The sequence below is a fragment of the Homo sapiens genome, chromosome 22, assembly GCF_000001405.40.
Source record: "Homo sapiens chromosome 22, GRCh38.p14 Primary Assembly".
NCBI lineage: Eukaryota > Metazoa > Chordata > Mammalia > Primates > Hominidae > Homo > Homo sapiens.
In genome coordinates, this window is record NC_000022.11 from 44,925,606 (window position 1) to 44,948,973 (window position 23,368).

The window sequence follows — 23,368 nt, forward strand, 5'->3', positions numbered from 1 at the left end:
TGCGGAGCCCATGACAAACAGCCTCGGCCACTGGATGAGGCAGCTCCCAATCCATAACACCGCCTGCTGCTCTTGGCTGGCACAGCCTGGCGGGCAGCACTGAGACCACCTCAGGTGCCACCTGATGCCCGCCTCCCCTAATGCATGTCTCAAAGATGGGGGGTTATGGGGATTGTCCTCCCCATTACCTCGAACTCCACGACCAGTGTTCCCCCAACTTCCACAAAGCAAGGTGTGTGGAAGGCTCTGATCTCCCCGCCCCTGGCCTGCCAGCCAGTGCCATTTATGCAGCTGGTCAACAGTCAGGGCCCCAGGCCAGCCCAGACTGTGGGGGCGGGAGGCAAGCAGGAGCAGCCATTTGATGAGCCAGATTCCAGGTAACTCCACCCAACTGGGGCCGCAGGCCGAGAGTAAGCAAGCCCTGTGGTGGGAAGGCCCACGTGGCCCGGCCTGCAGTGGATTTCCGGGGAAGTGGGTTCTGTGGTGGGAAGGCCCACATGCCACGTCCCTAAGGTGTGTTCCCTGGCAAGCGGGTTCTGTGGTGGGAAGGTCCATGAGGCATGACCCTGCAATGGATTCCCAGGGAAGCACATTCAGTGGCATGAAGGCCCACACGGCATGTGGGTTCCTGGGGAAGCAGGTTCTGTGGCGGGAAGGCCCACATGGCATGTCCCCGCGGTGGATTCCCGAGGCAGGTTCCCCGTAAGTGTGTGCATGAGGGGCAGGCCGTGGGGCCCCGGGGAGGAGAAATTTCCACATGGATGGGGCTGGCCAGCATATCCAATAGGGGCCAGAGAACAGGCACGAACCTGTTTTGCTGGGGCTTCCGTCCTCACTCAGATGCCCCAGATAAAACCTCCAGGCATGGGCCAGCCCGTGAGGAGGTGTGGGCTGGCCCTCCAGGCAAGGCGGGTGTGTGCTGCTGTGTTTTCCAAGCCCACATGTGCCTCTGTGAGTCCTGGAGGGTTGCTGTGTGAAGTTGCTCCTGCAGATAGCTCTGGGTGGGCTGAGGAGGCCGAGGACAGCCATGTGTGTTTTCCATGTTGCCTCGTGGACCAAGGGTTGCCGTGTGGGCTGGGATGGCGATGTGTCCATGTCCAAGTACTGCCACGTGGGCCATGGGTAGCTGTGTGTTTTGTGTGTTGCTGCATGAGCTAGGGGTGGCCATGTATCCGTGTCCGGGTGTTGCTGCGTGAGCCGGGGGTGGCCGTGTCTGTATCCGGGTGTTGCCATGTGGGCCGGGAGTGACCGTGTATCTGTGTCTGGGCGTTGCTCAGCAGCAGCTGTTGCTTTCTCTGATACCCACTCAGGTGTGCACAGCTCTGCTTCCACACGAGTTCTTCTCGGGAGCGTCTTTGGCTCTGTGTCTGTGTTTCTGGGCCTCATATCTGGTCAAGGCTCGACGCTCCCTCCTGACTTGGGACCCTGACAACTCCTGTGCCCTTACTTTAGGAATTCACAGCCGGGGACAGGGAAAGGAGGGGAGACCCAAAGGAGAGGGACGGATGGAGGCGGCGGAGAGGCAGAACCCCGAGAGAGAGGTGAGGAGATGACAGGAAGAGCTATTTCCACTTGATCCTCCCTAGTCAGTTACCAAGAAAGGGACACAACCCGCCCTGGGGAAACGTCCACACCCGCAGGAGGCCGGCAACAAACAGTGCCTGGCCATGCGTGTCCCCCCAAAACTCCAAACCAACGGCCTGTGTGCCCCTGCCTGGGACTCGAGGTGCCCTGCAGCTCTTCAGGGAGCAAATATGGGGTGCCCTCAAGTATCCAGCACCCTTAGCTAGGCAGGCAGAAAGAGTGGGCTCTGCAACCATGGACCTACAGCCCCAGCACCAAAGGAGAGACGATTCTGAGTCAAAGTCCAAAGTCCCCATTATCTGGGGAAGAGTCTGCTGCAAACAGGGCTGCCTTGCAGGGCCCCCTCCTCACCGCCCTGGGGACGGTGGGTTCCTTTTCGAACACTGCCATCCCCTTCCAACAACCGTCCATTCTCCGCCAATGCTAAGCTAGCTTCAGGCTCTCCAATCTCTACGTGTTTTCTTCACTCCAAGCCTACCCGAGTGCGTTCTTCCACTTCCCTACAAACCTTTAATTAGCGAGCTGAAAGCCATTTTTTTCTGGCAAGGGCTGACCTTTCTGCTCCAAGCTGGAATTTATTGACACCAGCAGAAACAATCATCTCAGACTCGATTTCACCAGCACCAGGTAGTTTACAGCCGCACTTACTTCAAGATCAATGAGCTTGTGACTACGTTTACAGCTCCAAGCATTTTAATAGGGGGTAAAAAACGGGCCATAACAGTCAAAGATAACTTCAAATTCTTCCTGCCATGGCTGAGTCTGGGGCGGGGCGGGGCACAGCTGGGGAAATCTCTAGGAAGCTCAGACACGGGGAGACAGCGGGAAGGAGACAGGTGTTGGTGCAGACCCTACAACCTTCCAGGGCAAAAGCCACATGTGGCTCTGGAAAAATCTGTCTTTAATAAATGTTTCTGAGCGCTCTAGGGACTTGGCTCTGGAGCTCTGCCAGGGCAGAGGGGTTCCAGCGCTGGCTTTGACATCAGCTGTGCGGGACCCCTCAGCTCTTCCCACCCCCGCTTCAGCACGCACCACCAGGACTCACCCCATACGGCAACACCAGCCTCACGCCCGCCGTCCTCGAACTGCCAGGCCACAGTCTAACTCCCTGACTGTCCCATTGGTTACAAGCAGGACCTGGTCCAGGACGAGCCCTGTCATTTGTGGGTCTCTTCTGCCTCTTTCCATTTAGAACAGCCCCACAGCACCCCTTCTTCCCATGAAAGGAACTTTTTTTTGAGACGGAGTCTTGCTCTGTCTCCCAGGCTGCAGTGCAATAGCGTGATCTTGGCTCACTGCAACCTCTGCTTCCCGGGTTCAAGTGATTCTCCTGCCTCAGCCTCCCGAGTAGCTGGGATTACAGGCGCCCACCACCATGTCTGGCTAATTTTTATATTTTTAGTAGAGACAGTGTTTCACCATGTTGACTGGGCTGGTCTCGAACTCCCGACCTCAAACGATCTGCCCACCTTGGCCTCCCAAAGTGCTGGGATTAGAGGCATGAGCCAACACACATGGCTTAAAGGAACTTTTTAAAGAAACCAGGACAATTGTCTACAGAAGGCGCTGGGTTTCTGTGGCTGCTTCCTCGCAGTGGGCCGTGTTTCCCATGGAGACCCTCACTGGACAAGGGTGGACCAGGCTCTCCAGAGTCTTCACCCACCATTCAGGCCCTGGGGCTGCAGAGGCCCCCCACCCCTCACCGCTGAGGCCCCACTGCCGGGGCTGAGGACCCACAGGCCTCTGGACATTTGAGCTTCACCAGGCTGGGGAGGCGAGAGGGGAGGCAGCCCCAGGCCTCCCAGAAGCCCCCATGGAAGGCGGCCTTGCTCTCCTCCTCTCCACATGGCCCAGCCGCCACGCGCACAGCCACAGAGCACGGCAATTTAATTGCTTCTCGAGTTGCAATTTTCCTTGCATCTTTAGAGAACTGCTGTGATGTGTGGCAAAGATAACAAGTCAGTTCCAACATCAATAACCGCTAATAAATATTAATATAACATAAGCACCACTTTTACTGTCATGTGAAACCAGTTCATTATTCACAGATGAAATCCAACTGCCGCCTTTATCACTGTCAGGAACGAACGAGCTGGTTCCACGGGCCGCTGCTGCTGCATGAGAATGTGCTTAGGCTTGGCCTTTATGTCCCCATTTGGTGTCCCCCACCCTCATCCAGACATCCCGCCTTCATGAGCCCCAAGCTCATCCAGGAGGGACCAGCAAGGGCCACGGCGAGTGCATGTGAAAATCCAGGCAAATTCCACTTGCTCTGGTCTCAGCTGGCTGCCCTGTGCCTCCTCCAGCCCACGTGCGTTTACCACCATGCCCGGTGCACCTGCAACAAAGACCACCATGGGGAGGCCAACCCATGTGCATTTGAATTTGACTTCTGGACTGGCGCTGGTCATGCCAGACTCATTGCTCCCCCACCTCCAAAGAAAGAGGGCAAGAACTGCTGTCACTGTTACAAGGACCAGAGGGGAGGTCCCTGTACCAGGAGATGCCCGGCACAAAGGTGCTCTAACAGCAGCCGGTGGCACTGGCACTTGAGTCGTTCCAATGGTGCCACTGCCTCTCAGTCCTGCGCGCCTCTGTGGGCCAAGACACACCCACAGAAATGCAGCATGAGGCGGCAGGCCTGAGGGACCCACAGAGATGCGAGGGTCCACCGGGCTGGAGGGAGGGGAGGCGACAGGTCGAAGATGAGGTGAGGCAGCGAGCCCAGGCCTGCAGTTCCAGGAAGGACCCCTGCAGCACCTGCAACCAGGCAAGCTGGGATCCACCCACTGTCACTAGGAGGGAAAAGAGGAACCAGAAAGTTCTCATACAATGGAAAACTTCCCAGCAGCCAGAGGGAAGAAACCAGACTTGCCCGGGTCACCAAGAGTGTGGAAGACACCCCTCGGGGTGAACAACACGAGCACCTGCGTCTGCGCACAGCCTGACTCCATCCGCTCAGGCAAAGCCAGCACTGGGGCGGGTGTGGCCTGCTGGTGTCCCATAAACGCACACAGCCAGGGCTGGGTCTATCCCCAAGTCATGACTGCGGCTGCCCCTGTGGAGGGGAGAGGGAGAGGAGGAAGCTGGAGGATGCCTATTGCCTCTACCGTGTACTAGCCTTTAAGAAAGTGATCAGAAGCAAACTGCCCAACCTCCCTGTTTACCCATTTGGGTGGAGAACATGTGGAGGCTTACTATAGGGCCCTTTGTATATTTTATAATAAATAAATATGCATGAAGGAGACAGAGGGAGCTCTGTCTACAGCTGGAAGCAGGAGGGGGTGTCTGAGTGGCACCTTGCAAGCTGGACCGGAATGTTACCAGTGGGCAGTCAGGAAAGCACATAGGAGTCGGGAGGCGGGACAGGAGGGTGGTGGGAGGGGCAGAGGCACCAGCAGCAGGGGTGCCAAGAGGCTCAGAGCACTGGAGGCTACAGCTCCCAAAGGTGGACAGTGAAGGAGGAGAGGAGGGGCCTGCCACCAGGGGCCCTGAATCCATCCATGCCCAGGAGCTGAATGTGAGTCAGGCAGAGCACTCTGGGGCAGGCACCAGAAGGGCTCTCACCTCTTCTGACAGGATAGGTTGCTGGCCAAGCCCTGAAAGGGCAGGGCGCAAGGGCGGCACCCCCCAACCCCGAGGTACTGAGGCCTGTTTGGACCTCGGTATCTTCTCCTGCCAGGAACAGCTGTCCGGGGCCTGCAGCCCTTCCCCATCCTGAATCCTGCTCTCTCCCAGGGTGCTGGTGACAGCCCCGATACCCAGCAGCTCCGGAGAGGTGAGCTACGCCCAGGGGACTCTTAGAAGACCTCAATGCTGGAACCCTCTTCCAAAGCCAGCTTCAGCAAGCCCCACAAGGAGTCATTTTCTTTCTTTCTTTTCAGAGACCAGGTCTCGCTCTGTTGCCCCAACTGCAGTGCAGTGGCGCAACCGTAGCTCACTGCAGCCTCGAATTCCTGGGCTCAAGCGAGTCACCCATCTCGGCCTCCCAAAGTGCTAGAATTACAGGCATGAGCCACCATGACCACCCGAAGAGTCACTTTCTAAAGTTCTGACTCCAGAATGCTGCTCATGTCTCGCTCCGAGGCAATTCTGTTTACTGAGAGCACTGCGGGAACAAAGATATGCGGCCGCTGTGGCCCGGCTGCCAGGCGCAGGCGGCTCCCACCCGGCTCGGTCTCGGTGACCCTGACCAAAGCCAGGCCGGCCGAGGCAGGCTGCCCAGGGCCACTTAACCAATCGCAGAGGCCTTTACAGGCAGCTGCTCTTAATCAAAAAGTGCCAGACAACACAAGTGGCTACCGTATGCTGACATTTAAAACACCCGTTCAGCGGCCCTCGGCGTTGCAGAGCAGTTTGTTTAAGTTGAAAGGATGTAATTTTATGCTATTTAGCAAAAAAACACACACTCTGAATGGCATCATGAACTAAGGATTGGGGGTTGTGATCTTGGGGGGGGGGTGTCAAAAAATGGTTGTGAGGTCCCCCGTGACCACAGGTGCATGTGTAGAGGTGTATTCTGGAAACTTCTGCACGGAAGTGGCAGCCTCTGAGGTCACGCTAGTTCTGCCGTGGAGGGTGTCCGTGAGACCAGCTAAAACGGCCACTTCTGCATCTACTCAACTGGAAAACATACCATCTGGAAGAGATCTGGACTCCAGGGGCCCAGGAGCCCACCAGGAGCCTCCTGTGCAATCCCTCCCACCGTGGGCCCTGCTCTCAGAGAAGGACTGGCACAGCCAGCAGCCTGCTGGGAATGTCCAAAATCCAGGGAGGGGCTGGACAGGAGGGACATCTCTAAGCTGCGTCCCCCAGGAAGGAAGGAAGGCAGGGCACAGGGAAAGACGCAGCCTTGAGGCCTTGGAGAGGGTGGGTGAGGCCGTGTCACTCAACAGAGGACCCGGGGCAGAGGCTGGAGGCCTCGAACCTCCACTGGGAAGACCCGGAGGTTAGTTTTCCCTCTACTCATCTGTTTCCTAAAGATGCAGCAAAATCTGTTCTTTAAGAGGGGCCATGGGCTTGCTGTAAGGGCTGCCAGGAGAGGGCAGATTGGGGGGCGAATGCCCCACCCCAGAGAGGAGAGGTGCTGCCTCTCTTGAGCCTGAGGTAAGAGGAAAAACACAAGTGGTTGGTACTTACTCGTCCCTGTGTCACAGACTGCTCACCCACTATCAGAGTGTCCTTATTCCTTCCTAGCCAGGGGGCCCTGAACCCCCAACCTGGGCCCTTGGATCTGGAGTGGCCGCCACCACCAGGCACACGTCTTCCAAACAAATCACAGTAGCAGCAAAATCCAATCGATGGTAGTGCCTCTAGCTGCCTGTCCCCACTGACCTCCAGACCTCTGTAAAATAGACGGTCATTGAGAAGATCTAATTCCCACAAAAGATGGGTTCACACAGTCCCGCTGGCCTCAGCTTCATCATCCCCACCTCCGACGGCCTGGGATCTAACTGAGGGTGCACCACGGAACGCTGATGACGGCCTGGAATCTGAGGGTGCACCTCCGCACCTGCACCACGGAATGCCGATGACGGCCCAGCAGGTGCTCCTCTCTCTGCAGAGGCCTCCTGGAGCTAGCCTTGGTGTGGGCAGGGATGCAAGGGTGGGTGGACCCCAGTCACCCCATCCCCAACCCCTGGCCCTCCAGAGGAAGGGCCCATTTTACTTCCAGTGAATGGCACAGAGCTTAGGCCACAGCTCACTGGATTTGACAAACATCTACACCCAAGTAACCACCGTGCAGACCAAGATACAGAACATTCCAGCAACCCTAGAGGTGCCCACAAGCCCCTCAAAGGGGGCCCCGCATTCTAACAAGGCACTCGCCAAGGAGAGCAGGTCCTGTCCTCGGGGACAGACTTCTGGTTGGATTGGCAAATGCTCCCGCCCCGCTGTGGAAACAGCTTCAGGTCTCTTCTATTTCTTTTTTTTTTTTTTTGAGATGGAGTCTCACTCTGTCACCCAGGCTGGAGTGCACTGGCACATCTCGGCTTGCTGCAACTTCTGCCTCCTGGGTTCAAGCGATTCTCCTGCCTCAGCCTCCCAAGTAGCTGGGATTACAGGCATGTGCCACCACGCCTGGCTAATTTTGTATTTTTGGTAGAGACAGGGTTTCTCCATGTTGGTCAGGCTGGTCTCGAACTCCCGCCATCAGGGGATCCGTCCGCCTCGGCCTCCGAAAGTGATGGGATTACAGGCGTGAGCCACTGCGCTCGGCCTCTTCTATTTCCTGAAGCCATTGGCACTGACTAAACTCAGCAAGTGTTCACTGCACACCTACCCCGTGCTGGGTCCCTTGTGCACAGATGAGAGGTTCTGCCCGCGATCTGGGGAAACAGACCAGAAGTGAGCATCAGAACGTGCTGCCCGCAACTCAACGGAAGTGCACGGGAAGGTCTCGGCTACATAGAAGGGGTAAGCGTTAAGTGGGGTGGGGGAGCCGTCTGAGGTTGGTCACGCACCTCCATGCCTAGTTCATCTCCACCATTCCAGGAGACGAGTATCTGGAGCTCTTCGTGCAGATAAGAGAGAGAGAGAGAGAGAGACAGACAGACAGACAGAGAGACAGAGACAGAGAGACAGACACATGACTGCCCCAAGCAAGTGAGGAATGAATCTGTGTGTACCCTGCACCGCGAGGGAAGGGTTTTCCGGGCACAGTAACTGAATACAAATGATTTACACAACCACAGGGAAGGCTCTGGCAGTCCCCAGGAGACAGGCCATGGACTCGTGAAGCGTCCTTGTCTATTTACTGAGATCCTGCCATGCTCAGCAGTCGCTGCATTTCCACGCAGTTTGAGGGACTTCCTGGTGAAAACTAACAAGAAAATATATGGCATGTGTAACCACAAGACCAGAGGGGCCCTTCTTGACCTCTGCTTCCTCTCCTCTGACGTGGGCATGGCAGCCCGTCCCCTCCTGGGGACTGCTGACCCAGTGGGTGGTCCTGGTGGCTGCCACAAGGCAGGGGGCCTTTGCACGGGGCTCAGAGTCCCATCGGCCACTTCCTCCTGACTCTCAGGTGCCGCTGGCCCTCACCTGCACCTCACCCACCTGCTTCCCCTGTCCTGGAGCGTGGCGGTGAGGATGTTAGAACAGCCTGGTACCCAGCCACCCATCACCGCACGCGACCTAAGACAAGACAGGCACATAGAGGAGCGATGACATCATCACAACAAACATGAATGAGACTCCTTACAGACGTCCACATCCAACAGAAGGGACTTCCACGAGCAGGAGTTTTTTTCAGGCCAAGAAGGGACAACATCGTCCCAGGCAGAGAGGGACAGTCTAGAGGTATACCAGGATGGCGTGGTCAGGAACAGAGCCCTCCCCTGCCAGGGCGTCAGGTCCATCTGGGAACGGGCAGGTGTCAGCACATGGACAGACCACACCCATCAAGCTAAGCTGTCTCGACTCTGCAGGTAGGCACTGGGGCTCTAGGAGTTTCCAAGCCAAGGGTAACATCACGTGGGCCCATAACTGGAGGGTGTAGGGAGTCCTGGAGTCCCCTGAGTCTGGGGTTAGAAGAACTAAAGGTCCCCTCAGCCAGAAGCTTCTGATTCGTCCAAAGTCCCCACTGCACCCACTTCTGCAAAGTGTCTGGGATGGCCACATCGCCTGTCCCTGTCTGGTCCTCACTCTTTCCTGGTCTGGCTGCTTAACTCCAGACCCACCGAAAGCTCAGCAGGCCCCACCAGGCCATCCTGGGAAGTGTCCCAGCCCTCGCTGAGACCTTCCAGGAGCGTGGGAAGAGAAGACATGTGGCGCTAGGCTTTGGAGAGGAGGACAGTCCCTGCTCTGCTCCAGAAGAAGTTCCCAGGGCCTTTGATATCTCTGTGGCTGGTTAAACACACACGCTCATGCAGTATATTCACTTTCATCAAGAGAAAAAGGATCACGGCAATCGGTCCAGTGGTCACCCCTGTCCCCGACACACTCCCTCTGACCTGCGTCTAACTGGAAGCTTCAGGAACATAGCCCAAAGATCTGAGAGCAAACCCCAGTCCTGCCACCTAAGGGTTATGAGACCCTGAACAAGTTACTCAAACTCCCCGAGCCCCAGTTTCCCTCCTCTGTAAACAGGGAGAACTAACGTTCACACAGGTTTGCCCTGACAGTTAAAACAGAAGCACATGGCCGGGCGCGGTGGCTCACGCCTGTAATCCCAGCACTTTGCGAGGCTGAGACGGGCGGATCACGAGGTCAGGAGATCGAGACCATCCTGGCTAACACGGTGAAACCCTGTCTCTACTAAAAACACAAAAAATTAGCCGGGCGTGGTGGCGGGCGCCTGTAGTCCCAGCTGCTCGGGAGGCTGAGGCAGGAGAATGGCGTGAACCCGGGAGGTGGAGCTTGCAGTGAGCCGAGATCGAGCCACTGCACTCTAGCCTGGGCGACAGAGCAAGACTCCGCCTCAAAAACAAACAAACAAACAAAAAAAAAACAGAAGCACATGGCTCACACCTGGCACCTTGGAGGCCCCAAGAAACTGGCAGGTCTCATGGGAGAGGGCAACAGGGCCTTCTGCAGCTGTGACTTCAAGCTGTTTAACCTCCTGAGCCTCAGTTTCCTCATCTGTAAGATGGAGATGTTGATGCCAGCTTCACAGGGGGAGCAGAGTTAGCGAGACTAGAAAAGTGTTCAGCTCAAGAAGGGGTGGCTCTGCCCTGTCTCTGCCCGCCTCGGGGAAGCTCCAACCTCGCACGAACCCACTCTGGGCTGGGGCCCAGAGCTGAGCCTGGCGCCACGCCGTGCTGCCCAGGAGACACACCACATTCTGTTCTCTCTGCTGGGGTATTTTTAGAAGGAACAGCACTTCTAACTGTGCAAATAACGTGTTGAAAATAAGCTTTAGATTTTGACTTAAATGTACTAGGAGAGGCGGAAACATTCCTTGTCCTCCAAATACCGTGGAGAACATCTTTTTGGAGGGTCCTGAAGAACCCGGCTGCTGTCTTCACTCCTGGGATGAATGGGCCAAGCCCCCTCCCGGGAGAGCTACGGAACGGGGCTGTGGGGTCCGCCTTGTCACCTGCATGAGCCCTGGAGTGCTCCTCCCTGGCCATGTCCAGTGGAGACGGCACAGGGGAAGCTGCAGGTCCCGCCTGGTTCTGAAGGCGGCTCCTTGTAGAGAGGCCGCAGCCTCAGGCCGACTGTCTCTCTGGCCCAGCAGAAATGCTGGCTCCTGGCCTGTGGCCCTCATCTCTCCCTGTATACCGGCAGCCCTGTCGCCTCCTGTCCCCAGCCCCTCTCCTTCGAGCTCCAGATCTGCGTGTGACATCCCACCTGGATGCCTCGCTGCCCACTCGAGACAGGACCGCCTCCTGCCATCCGTTACTGGTGAGCCCTTGCAAGTGGCTAACCTGAGCTGAGACGGGTTTCAAGTGGGACCTTGAAGACTCATGAAAAGATATTAAAGTATCTAATTAATATTTTAAAAATGAAGTACATGCTGAAATAATATCTTGGACATATTGGATTACATAAAATAATTATTAAAATGATTTTCACCCCCCCAGGTTAATTTCACTTGTTTCTTTTTACTTTTTTTATTGTGGCTTACCAGAAGATTTAAACTTACACATATGGCTCTCACTGCGCTTTTATTAGACAATGCTGTTCTACAGGAAACTTGTAATTTAAGACAAAAGTTGTGGACATCCACTTTCTTTCTTTTTTTTTTTTTTTTCCTGAGATGGAGTTTCACTCTTATTGCCCAGGCTGGAGTGCAATGGCGCAATTTCGGCTTACTGCAACCTCCACCTCCCGGGATTGTCCTGCCTCAGCCTCCTGAGTAGCTGGGATTACAGGTGCCCGCCACCACACCCAGCTACTTTTTTGTATTTTTAGTAGAGGTGAGGTTTCACCATGTTGGCCAGGATGGTCTCGAACTCCTGACCTCAAGTGATCCAACTGCCTCGGCCTCCCAAACTGCTGGGATTACAGGCATGAACCACCGCACCCGGCTGAACATTCGCTTCTGCTGAAGAAGTGGAAGGATGAGAAAACTTTAACTCCATGGTAACATCAAAACACACCCAGACAAAATAAAAATCCTATTCATCCCCAAGAGCAGTGACTACGAGAAAGCCTTGAAGGACCAAGTTCCAGGGAGAAAGGAGCCTCAAAGGCTGGGCAGAGACGGAGACATCACAGCCAGGCGGCCACCAGGTGTGAACACAGGTGCACACTCAGCACAGGTGCAGGCCGCTGAGGACGGAGACCCAAGTGGGCTGAGCTGGGCCATCACGGAGTAGCCGGGTCTCTCACAAACCACTGCAGGAGTGGGAGGCAGTGCGAACACTTCAAAAAATAGTTGGGTCATTTCTTACAAAACTAAACACACACCTGTGCTCTCTGACCCAGCAATTTCACTCCTAGGTGTTTACACAAGAGAAATGAAAACCTGTATCCCCAAAACATCATGTGCATGAAAATTCGGAGCAGCTTTATTCATAATCTCTTAAAAGGGAAAACAACTCAAATGTCCATCAACTGGTGAGTGGGCAAACCTACTGTGGGACCCCCACGCCACGGGATGCCACTGAGAAACACGCAGGGAAAGAATGACGAATACTCTCGATGACACGGAGGAGCCTCATAGCACTGCGTGGAACGAAGGGAGCCCACACAAAGGCCGCAGGCCTCCCCGGACATGAGGCTCAAGAAGCAGCAAAACTAATCCCTGGTGATGAAATCTCAACAGCGGGTGCTCTGCGGGACGCATCGCGCAGGTGCAGAATTTTCTGAGGTGATGCAAATGCTCTATTTTGGAGTATAAGTTACCTGGGTGTACACAACTGTCAAAACTCATCCAGCAGTACAATCAAAATCTGTGAATTTCAATGTATGCAAATTTTATCTCAAATTTTAAAAATCTATGTATTTTATTTTTGAGACAGAGTCTCGCTGTGTCACCCAGGATGGAGTGTAGTACCTCGATCTCGGCTCACTGCAACCTCCACCTCCCAGGTTCAAGCCATTCTCATGCCTCAGTCTCCCGAGTAGCTGGGATTACAGATGCCTGCCACCATGCCTGGTTTTTTGTTTTTTTGAGACAGAGTCTCACTCTCTTGCCCAGGCTGGAGTGCAGTGGCGCGGACTTGGCTCACTGCAACCTCTGCCTCCCAGGTTCAAGCCATTCTCATGCCTCAGCCTCCAGAGTAGCTGGGATTACAGGCACCTGCCATCATGCATGGTTGATTTTTGTATTTTTAGTAGAGACAGGGTTTCTCCATGTTGGCCAGGCTGGTATCAACTCCTGATCTCAAGTGGTCCGCCTGCCTTGGCCTCCCAAAGTGCTGGGACTACAGGCGTGAGCCACTGCGCCCAAAAAATCTATATATTTTAAGAAGGACAAGAGCTGCAGCTCCAACCCTCATAGAAAGGCAGGGCCAAGGGGGCAGCTAGAGGAGCCCAGCTGGTGCACAGACCTATGCCCTCTCAGGGGCAGCACTGATAGACCCTCATTATGGCAGCTGCATGGCTAAGATGCTTCATCTGGAATGGAATCAATATTCATAGTTATGTCAATGAGGGCCTGAAAAATAAGGTGCCATCTCTAGGAGGAGACCCAGGACCAGGATCAGGAACAGGTTCTGGGTGGCACTGAATATGGGGCAGGAAATCTGGATGCGCCATTATGGAAATAAATGCACTCTGGCCTCACTGATGACCAGGAAGGCACTAAGGAAGGACTCGTGTCTCGCTTCTCTGCTATGCATTGATAGCACCTGGACCTGCAGAAAAGCAGGAGCTGGTTGAGGACTGAAAAAGACCAAGGACTTCACAAAACCTCCACCAGGCTGCTGGGCTGCACACACACGGCGCCTCCAGTGCGTGAGCTCAGAGCCGGCACCGACCATCTGCAGCAGCTGCACAAGCGCAGGCCCTTCCTGCCTTCTGCCAAGACCCCTTAGGAGCCTCCAGTAGAAAACTCAAGATCGGCTCAGACAGGGCTGGGGAAGAGGGAGACTCCCGCTGAGCCAAAAGCAGGCTGCTGTGATGAGCCAGGGACTGCGGGAAGCTGCACGACCCATAGAGGCAGGAGACGCTCCTTCACCCACGGCTGGGGAGACTCTGAAGCTCCAGGGTGCAGTTAGGTAAGTGGAGAAGGAGAGAGGGCTGTGGGTAGAACACGTCTGAGCTCTGCCCCAGGACTGCCATGTGTGACTGGTGTCCCCACCTGAGGCCTTACCTGTCACCTTGCAAAGTTGCCGCGAAGTTTCAATGAAATGCAGGAAGCACTGCGCACTGAGCAAATGCCAAGGTTCTCCCACTGGACCTCCCACGAGCTTCCCAGGTGGGGGCGGCAGAGGGGGCTCAACGCATCTGTGAGCACAGTGGGGACCAGGAAAGGGTGAAGGAGATGCTGGCGCTGTCTTGGAAGTTAAGTAGGGTTCCCAGACATGGGGCGGAGGTAACTGTGGGACACCCAGCCCGTCCTGTCCCAGCATCAACGAGGAGACCAGGAGAAGTCACGGCCACAGGGGATGGGTGGGAGCAGGGCTAGGGAGGGGCGAAGGGATAGGGCCGAAGGCAGCAAAGGCCACCTGCAGGAGGGTGGGTCTGAGGAAGAGGGAGACGGGTAGAGATGGGAGCCCAGCAGTCCAGGAGCTGCCCAGTAATCCAAGATGAATAAGAGGCTGCCCACGGAGGCAGGGAGACCAGGAGGAGGTTGCAGAGGCCCAGGGAGGTGAGGATGAGTAAGACATGGTTGGGCTCTGGGCTTTAAGCAGGAAGAGTGATGTATCTATCAAAAACTCAAAAAGCCCAGAGTTAGGTGGTGGGGACAACAATAAAGTCCCCATCCTCAAAATACAGCCAGGGGCCAGTGGGGTGGGGACTCAGGCAAGCCACTGCCACCCTGGGCCTCAGTTTCCCCTTCTGTAAAAAGCAATCTGAAAGCAATCTGTGAAATGCAGAAGTGCTTAAGATGCCGCACCTCCACCAGGGCAGGTGCCACGGGCTTAGATCACCAGTTTTTCCGCACCTCCTCTTGGCAAGAGGGCCTGAACCTGCCTCCGGGCAAGCCTGTCCACACCCTCCAGCCACCTTAATTATTCCCACATTCCTAACAGGAAATCTGGCCCTTAAATTCACCAGCAAGCCTGCACCCAGCGCCAATGCCACGTCCCTAATTACCAGCATTAGCATTGCTAATCTCCCGCCAGCCCCATCACAGGCACCCCTTGTCCATGCAGTCCTCCTGTTAATAAGCCGGAATAATGAGGCTTCACCGCGCAGCGGGGGCCAACAGGATGCAGGAGGATTTTAATTTCAGATTTTGGGGTCCCAAGTTATGAGGGACAACTGAAAGGGATCAGGAATGATCCCAGGGGCTGAAGGAGGCCGCCTGAGAGGCTGCCTAAATGGCCCCCAGAGAAACAGTGCTGGGTGGGGAAGGATGGGGAGAGGATAAGAGAACACTGCTCTCAGACTTTGGTGGACAAATAAAAATAACTGGGAGGGAGGGACTTCTGTGAAGCACCTGCTTCCCCACCTAGAAGGCGAAGGGGCCGAAGGAAGAGGCAGACTAACCCCAACAGCTGGGACCTTCCAGAGCCCCGGTCAGCTGGACAAGGCTCAGGGACTAGAGGCAAACTCTTGGCCCATGTGGGCAGGAGTGGGTGAGATGGATACAGGGGAAGGGTGCCAACACCCCCTTCTTCATGTGAAGGCATCCAAAGCTTGGGGTGGGGCTGTGGAGGTGAGTGGGGGGCTGTCGTTTCATGGAATGTAATTTTAATTTCCATTAATCAACTTCTAAACATTACAACTCATTGCAATTTTTAAAGGCTCAACAAATGTTTGCTGCATGAGCAGCGGGATTCGTGAACAGTAACAACCCACATCCACAGCACCCCGCAGCGCCATGCAGTCCTGATGTCATGGACTCAGGAATGCTGCGCGTGCTCACAATGACCATTCCCTTAAACCTGAGGAAATGGAGGATCAGAGGTTGAGTGACCTGCCCAAGACCACCCAGCTACCAGTCAGCCAACACCCAGAGGAAGATTCCCAGTCAGCAACACCCAGAGGGAGATTCCAGAGACCTCCAGAGGTCCACGCAGTGCTACCTCCTGCAAGCTACACCGCGCCATGCCGCACCACCAGCTCTCAGCGGGGACTTCGGGGGCTGTGCCCTTCCAGGGCTGTTTGCCCCGGAGTGGATCAGGCCAGTCCGTCCCTCTGTGACTCGGCCTCTCAATCCTACACCTCAGGAGGAAGCTCAGTCTCCTCCTCCTCCCCCGAGGCCACTTCAGCTCTGGTTTTAATCTCCACTGCTTAGAGTAACAGCGGCGGAGGAGGTGGGTCACAAAGACCTGAAAATCACAGATCCCAACCCAGCTGGATCGCTTTGTTCCTCTGACGTTGTGGTGGGCACAATGCAAAATTGTGAGACGCCACCAACCCCACTTCCCACGTTAGCAGGGGGATGGGGCAGGGGTGGACGGAGTCCACCGTCACTTTAAGCCTCTGCCTCGATGTGGGCTCGGGAGCACCCACTAGATGCTGGGCAGGGGGATACGGCGGCAGGGCCTTCATTCTGGTCAGGAAACAGACCTGCTCATGGTGACCAGCCAAGGTGAGGACGGCAGGGGCACAGGCTGGGGGGGCCACCTGCCATTGATTCATTCACTAACGCAGCACCCACCCCAGGTACAGGGGACACAGCACTGAGTCAGAAGCAGCCCCGTCTCCCAGGGACTGCCTGTTCAGTGGGCACAGACCCATCCCCCACCCCATCTGTGAGACCACAGAGATGCCACTTCCCAGAGGAGATGACAATGAGTAGGACCCTGAAAGAAAAGTCCACGACATGGCCCGAGGCCCAGTGGGGGGAATGCGGCCCTGGGGACTCAGAACAGCCTGACATGGCACAGCAAGTCTGGGGCCAGAAGAGCCTGGGATGCCAGGCTCAGCATCTGCCCTTGTCCCAGCACCACCAAAGGGTCCGCCTTCTCCCTTTTCCCAGCCAGACTCGGGACAGGAGCAGAAAATCCAGAGCCTGCAACATCTCATACTTGGTGTGGGGGCCTGGGACACAGATCCAGGCCACCGGGACAGTGTGTGCCAGGCACCATCTGGAGGGCAGCCGATGGGCTCTGCCAGATTCCTGATCCACAGTAGGACCCTGGGGGCACCCTCTGCCCGAGGACCCTGGAACACACAGCTCGGGGACAAGAGAATAACTGCAGGGATCTCGCCAATTCCTGACTAACCCCACCCTAGGTCAGTCCCAGACTTCATCCCCCCAGCTCTGTGGAAAGGTACTATTACCATCCCACTGAACACACAGGGAAACGTGACCTGCCAATGCTGGGAGGTGGAGGAAGCCAGTCCAGCCCAGGCAGCTGACTGCAGAGCCCATGTGTGCTCCAGGCTGCCCTAGGAGCAGCTGCCCCACACAGGGCACCGAGGTCTGTGGCCCTGAGGACACAGCCAAGGCACACGGTCAGAGGAGGGTGCCCACAGCTCACCCACAGCCTGGCCCCTGAGCTGAGGCCCAGCGCACGAGCTGTCGGGGAGCCACGTGGAGGGCAGGACCACCCAGGCTTCCCTGGGAGTGGCAGTCCTAGGAGGACACCCGGGACGGGGGTGCAGGAGTTGGTTCAGCAGCAAACCCTTGCCCCAGCTGGACCTGAGTTTCCCCATCTTTATGATGGGGTGGGGCTGGAGTGGCTGATTCCTGGGGGCCAGGGTGAAGCGTGTGACTCAGTGAAGAAAGGGGGATTCAGAGCTTAGGACACAGGCCTGAGGCAGGGACCCACAGGCGGACCCCCAGCAGGGAGGGACCCCCCCCCCCCCATCCTCAGAAGGGCTGACCAAAGCCAAGAGCACACAAAGTAGATGGAAGATCCGGATTGAATCCTGCTCAGCACCGCCTCTGCCCCCCAAGCCAGCCCCTCCTGCCCATGATGCCCTCCACGCTGCTCCCCAACATGCTCCGGGGTTGCCTGCCTGTGGCCTTCGTGCCAGCACCCGCTCCCCCAAGCCTGGAGAAAAGAGCTGCCTGTAGTCCCTGAGCCCGTCCCCAGGAGCACACAGTCCCTGTGCCTGTCCCCCAGTAGCACAGCCAGGGGCTCGGGGACACAGAAGCACAGGGGGTTGATTACACCCGAAGGGCCGTAATCCCTAGGACAGAGCTGGCCCGGGGAGGCCAGAAAAACCCAAGCCCCTATTTTGTTTTGAGCAGAGCCCCATCTGAGCTAGATCCCAGGGAAGTACCAGGGAATGTTTGGGAACGATGAGCATGTGGGGCTCTGGGAAAGGCCCCACTAGTGCTGGGGGCGGCCCGATCTCCAGCAGGCTCAGCTACATCTCCGTCTCCTCGTGGGGACACGGGCAGCTGCACGCTTCCTCCAGGCCCCGCGGGCTCTAGAGTCCTGGCAGCTGGCTCACACCGGGATACTTGACTGCTGTGCCCCACTCCCACCCCCTTTGTAAAGCAAACAGGTTTAGATTTCGACGGACAGGTTTGGGGTCCACATTCAGTGGCCGGGCACATGACAGCGACTCCTGGGCCGTGTGACACTCACCCTCAGCTCTCACCTTAGTCTCTACCAGTTTTGGTCCAAGAAGTGGCAGCAGCCCAAGCATCCAGCCCAGCGGCACCCTGGCACCATGCTCGTGGGGCACCGGGAAAAGCCACCTGCAGCATTCCAGGCCCGGCTTCCGAGTTCCTCCTAGCAACTGGGTCTCATGCAGATGAAAACCCCCAGGCCTGGCGCACAGTAGCTGCTCAGTCAAATGTCTTCAGCCCTTTGGACTCAACAGTACACTTGGACCCTGAGGGAAGGAACAGCGCTGGGCCTGGGGTCCGAAAACCTGGCTTCAACCCAGCTCCCTCCTCTACCCTCCTGCTGCTCCACCTTCGGTAAGATGCTGAGCCCCGCAAGCCTCAGTTTCTCCATCTGTAAAGGCTGCAGCTGTTCTGCAGACAGTGAAGGACTGTGCGCCCAGCATCCAGTGGCTTCCACCTATGGCGTGTGTTGTCAGGCTATGAGAACCCTGATGGCAAAGGTGCCCTGAGCAGAAGCTGAAAACCACGTCCTTTCAAGGGAATTCGGGGAGGAAATAAGGTTCCTTTCCACGTGCATCTTATTTCTGGGGCCTCAAGGTGCCAGGAGCCACCGCCCAGGAGCTGGACGCCTGTGCTGGGAGGGGCACTATGGCATGCTCACCTCTGATGTCTGTTTCCATCCATTCCTCCTCTCTGGTCATCTGAAGCACCCTCTGGATTCTGGGAGCTATCGAGACTTAATGAGGGCCACCTGGAGGCCCTGCATCAATAACAAGTTTGTATTATTGCCTCGGTATTTGGACAAATTAGGAACCCCACAGCCGGCGTCAGCAGAGTTTGGGAATTTCCTAAGATGCCAGGCCAAGTCCACTCCTGAGCCTGCCCACCAGCAAATGACGCATCACAGGGCCACGCTGGCCCATCCTGGTTCCTCTATCTGCTAGATGTGGATGGTGGGGTCCTGGCCTTCGAACGGGAATGTCTGATTCGAGAACATCCCCAGAGCCAGGAAGAAACAAGCTGACCGAGCTCCTGATGAGTGAGTGAATGGGTGAATGGAGGAAGAAACCCTTTGCCCAGCCCATCGCATGGGTTCAGAAGCTCTAATGAAGTCAGGGGCCTGGAAGGAAGGACTTGGGGAAGGAAAGCATCCGACTGCACAGTCAGGCAAGAGCTGGGCCTCGACGGTCACTCCTGCCTTCCTGCCGCAGTCCTGAGCCTTCGTTTCCTCCTCTGTGAATTAGAGCGATCCTTACCTCTTAGGAGCACATGAGATTCCTGCATACCGGGCTGCGCCTGCACCTCAAAGGTGCTTGCGACGGCTCACTCACTCCTTGCCTGTTTCCCGTATTAATTTCCTGCCTCTAAATCACTGGTGAAAACGAGGTTTGCTTCTCAGGTTACCATGGCAGGAAAACCCTCCAAGTACACAAAAAGCTGCAGAAATCCTGGGTTTCCTGAAGACCTGGCTCAGGTGTGACTGTGTTACCATCTCCTCCGTGTTGGGAGGCCCATGGGCACCTAGCTTTCCCCAGTGGGAACGGACAGGCTCGCTCTGGGTAGGAGCAGCAGGGGTCTGACCCAGGCTCCCCCAGCGCCCTGTGAATGGGGCGATTTAACTCCGTCTGAGTGACATGAAGCATGGGAGGCACTTGTCTGTGCTTCCCAAGCAGCCGCCCCTAGAAATCTGAGACCCTCCCATCCTTGGGTGGGAATTGAGAGTACATGGGGTTTTGTGCTTTCTGCAGAATCACCTGCGCTTGAGTGCACGGGGCCTGTTTCCCAGCACAGTGCCCACACAGCTGGGGCTTGTTTCCCTGGCTCCAGCCCCAGCCCCAAATCCCCACACTGCTCAGATCCCCTGCACCTGGGCTGCAGGGCAATGAGTGCCTCCAGAAGGGCCTGATCGTGGGGACAGGGAGTGATAGGGAACCCCAGGAACGCCATCTTCCAGCACCTGACCAGTCTCCTCCCAAATACTGTTGGCAGAATTGGGGGGGGGGTGGTATAAAGCAGTCCTGCTTACCTTGACCTTGGCAGGAAGCTGTGGGTAAGCACGAGGGGTCAGCCTGAACCTGAGTCTGGGGCTCCAAAGGGGGCTGAGTGCCTCCCAGATGGTACCAGAACTCTTTGGGCCTCAGGCCCCAGGCAGTGAGATGGGGAAGATGCTACCATCCCCTCCTGAGGATGACCTCAGGGCCACCCGTGCTGTTCCTTCTGCCTGGGTCGCTCTGTCCCCTGCCTCTTGCCCAAGTCACCCACTTACTCCCCAAATAATTACCAAGTTCCTACAGTGTGCCAAGCACCCAGAACTAACTACACACAGGTGGACACCGCCCTGGCCTCCACCGGCTCATCAGGGAGAGTCAGGCCCTGCGGGAGGGAAGCATGGGGGCTGGGAGGCCTGCTGGAGCCAGAGTGGTCACGGAAGGCTTCCCAGAGGAGGTGCACTGCGGCAGAGCCCAGGCTGAGAGTGGAGGGGGCACCACGTACTTCTGGGGCTCGGGGTGGGGAGGGATGCCAGAGACTAGAGAGGCTCCCTATCTCTGAGAAGCTTCCCCTGACACCCCCAAACGAGGCCAGATACCCCAATTCTGCCCTCTACCAGCACCTTCTATGCCCTCCCGACATGCCTACAATCTCGATCCCTCCTGCTGGGCTCTCATCTCTCAGAGCGTAGGGAGTAGGTCATGTCTCGAAGAGTGCTGGCGTCCTGGGCGCTCAGTGTACACGTACTGAGTGGGATGGGAAAGAGGAAACACGGAAAGTCCTGTTATTATGGATGGATGAAAGGGTGGACGGATGGTGGGTGGACGGATGGAAGGGTAGATGGACAGTGGGTGGACATACGGAAGGGTGGATGGACGGGTAGATGGATGGACAGTGGTTGTATGGATGGATGGGTGGATGGATGGATGGGTGGATGGACGGTGCGTGGGTAGAATCAATTCCACCTTCCTGCAGAAGACTCTCCTGCCTCATGTTCCATCTCAGGGGGATGCTCAGGATTCCAGGGGCTGAAAATATTCCAGGTTGCAGGGGCTGCACACCACACTCCCCACCCCAGCCCAAGGCCATGAACATGGCAGGGAAGACAGAAGCCTGTGGCTGGGGAACCTTTGGTGACACTGTGGAGGCCCCTGCTAGCTCAGCCACCTGCCACAGAAGGATGGAGGGTAGCAGGGCCTCTGGTGACTCTGCAGGACCTGGAAACGGGGCACAGGATAGAGGCTGGCCAAGCAGATGCTCCGTTTAAGGGGGCTGCGGCCAATTGGCATCACTGAAGCCCAATGACAATGCCACCAGGAGGTCCTGTTATTCATCCCCTGTTAAACGTGAGAAAACCAAGGCACACTGGAGTTAAGCAAGTGGTCCAAGATCACGCACTGCGTGGGTGGCAGAGCCCTTCCCCATGAGAAGCCTGGCCTTGCAGGCTGAGCTGTCCCAGTCCCCAGGCAAGATCCCCGCCCCCACCCTTGGCCCTGCTATTCTCAGTGCTTCTGGAAGGGCTGCCTCCAGTCTGTGTGTTGCCATTCTGAGCACCTACTCGGCACCAAGCATTCTGTTCACGTTCATGATCTCATTTAAAATGATCTCGCAAGGCAGGGCTCTGCTGCCTTTGTTTTTAAGCAGACCGACGCATGGGCAGGTGACTGACAGCCATGGATGCTAACTTAGGAAGTGCCCGCTGGGCCTTAAATCCTGGCCAGCGCCAGGGCCCAGCCCCCTGCCCTATAGAACCTCTCAGCCACGCAGCTCCCATGAATGGCCTGGCAGAGGGAAGGGCTCTGGGCCCTCCAGGTGTGCTGGGTGCATCTCCTGGGACAGGCTGGGCCCAGAGCACTCACCGCAGCCCCGCTCGGCAGCACAGGCACCAAATTCTGCCTCTCTGTCATGTCACACCTTCCACGCGGACCCTGTGGGGACCAGAGTGTGAATTCTGCTTTCGTACCTGCTCTTGCCACTGCCATCCATGAAAGGCCTGAGGATAGGGGTCAGGTGGAGTCTGGGTCTCCAAGCACAGGGCTGATGACCAGGGTGTGGCCCTGGCTCCCGGAAGCTCAGATATGTTTCAGTTTGTCACTTCGGCTCTGCTTGGTGTGCTTCCTTTTCTTTTTTACTTATCCAGATACGACTTACAAACAGCGATGTGCGCAGGTCTTAAGGGTACAGCTGGAGGAACTCCTCCTGCATCCACACCCAGACAATGACCGCTGAGTTCAGGATCCAGAGCACAGGGCGCCAGAGCCTCCTCCCCGCTGTTGTCCCTCCTCCCCGCTGTTGTCCCTCCTCCCCACTGCTGTCCCGTTCGGACGTGATGCTGCCTGTTTTGTACCTTACATCAGTGGTCTCCAACCTTTTTGGCACAGAGACCAGCTCCGTGGAAGATGGTTTTTCCACGGACCTGGGAGGGAGATGGTTTTGGGATGATTCAAGCACATTACATTTATTGTGTAGTTTATTTCTGTTATTATTACATTGTAATAGATAATGAAATAATTACACGACTCACCATAACATAGCATAAGTGGGAAATCTGAGCTTGTTTTCCTGCAACTAGACAGTCCCATCTGCGGGTGGGTGATGGGGACAGTGACACCCTAAATGTGTTGCTTATGTCCAGTCTACTCCATCATCTCGTTTTGGTTGCTGTCACTGCAGAAAACTCTGCTTCAGGCTGGGCGCAGTGGCTCATGCCTGTAATCCCGGCACTCTGGGAGGCCGAGGCGGGCAGATCATCTGATGTCGGGAGTTTGAGACTAGCCTAGCCAACACGGCAAAATCCATCTCTACTAAAAATAAAATAAAAAAAAACATTTAGCTAGGTGTGGTGGTGCAGAACTGTAGTCCCAGATACTTGGGAGGCTGAGGCACAAGAATCGCTCGAACCCGGGAGGCAGAGGTGGCAGTGAGCCGAGACTGTGCCACTGCACTCCAGCATGGGTGACAGAGTGAGACTCTGTCTGGAAAAAAAAAAAAAAAAGAGAGACAGAGAAAACCCGGCTTCACAAAGACAGGATGCTGGACATGGAAGCAGGCTTTTCAGTGCTCACGTGGCAATCTCAGGATATTCCACTTTGACTTTTATCCAGAACATATGGAGATTTGAAGTTGTCTCAAACACACTTTTAGGGCCACTGTCATTTGCAGTCTCAAGCAGTTGATCCTCTTCTAGCACAGACAAAGGTGATTCGCGTGGCTTATCCACAAATGGGTCACAGATCCATTCCTTCCCAGTTTGGGGTTCTT

At 56.1% G+C, this 23,368-nt stretch overlaps 1 protein-coding gene across 9 annotated transcripts in view, besides 4 other annotated features; it reads right to left on the minus strand.

Annotated features, from left to right (window-relative positions):
* The window catches only part of PHF21B (PHD finger protein 21B), a 128,844-nt gene that overhangs the window by 44,444 nt on the left and 61,032 nt on the right, over positions 1–23,368 (minus strand). For 2 of the 9 annotated variants that reach the window (XM_047441109.1, NM_001284296.2), the window contains exon 3: positions 7,868–7,913. The exons of the other annotated variants lie outside the window; for them this stretch is intronic. The gene's annotated coding sequence lies outside the window, so the exon portion shown is untranslated. The remainder of the gene's footprint in view (positions 1–7,867; positions 7,914–23,368) is intronic. 9 annotated transcript variants of the gene reach the window in all.
* Positions 6,632–7,133: an enhancer, noted in NCBI's record as "H3K4me1 hESC enhancer chr22:45328117-45328618 (GRCh37/hg19 assembly coordinates)". NCBI's record gives its function as "activates a minimal SCP1, AML or CMV promoter by ChIP-STARR-seq in naive H9 embryonic stem cells {active_cell/tissue: H9 hESC(naive)}" and the evidence as "EXISTENCE:reporter gene assay evidence [ECO:0000049][PMID:30033119]".
* Positions 13,231–14,158: an enhancer, noted in NCBI's record as "H3K4me1 hESC enhancer chr22:45334716-45335643 (GRCh37/hg19 assembly coordinates)". NCBI's record gives its function as "activates a minimal SCP1, AML or CMV promoter by ChIP-STARR-seq in primed H9 embryonic stem cells {active_cell/tissue: H9 hESC(primed)}" and the evidence as "EXISTENCE:reporter gene assay evidence [ECO:0000049][PMID:30033119]".
* Positions 16,940–17,867: an enhancer, noted in NCBI's record as "H3K4me1 hESC enhancer chr22:45338425-45339352 (GRCh37/hg19 assembly coordinates)". NCBI's record gives its function as "activates a minimal SCP1, AML or CMV promoter by ChIP-STARR-seq in naive H9 embryonic stem cells {active_cell/tissue: H9 hESC(naive)}" and the evidence as "EXISTENCE:reporter gene assay evidence [ECO:0000049][PMID:30033119]".
* Positions 18,794–19,721: an enhancer, noted in NCBI's record as "H3K4me1 hESC enhancer chr22:45340279-45341206 (GRCh37/hg19 assembly coordinates)". NCBI's record gives its function as "activates a minimal SCP1, AML or CMV promoter by ChIP-STARR-seq in naive H9 embryonic stem cells {active_cell/tissue: H9 hESC(naive)}" and the evidence as "EXISTENCE:reporter gene assay evidence [ECO:0000049][PMID:30033119]".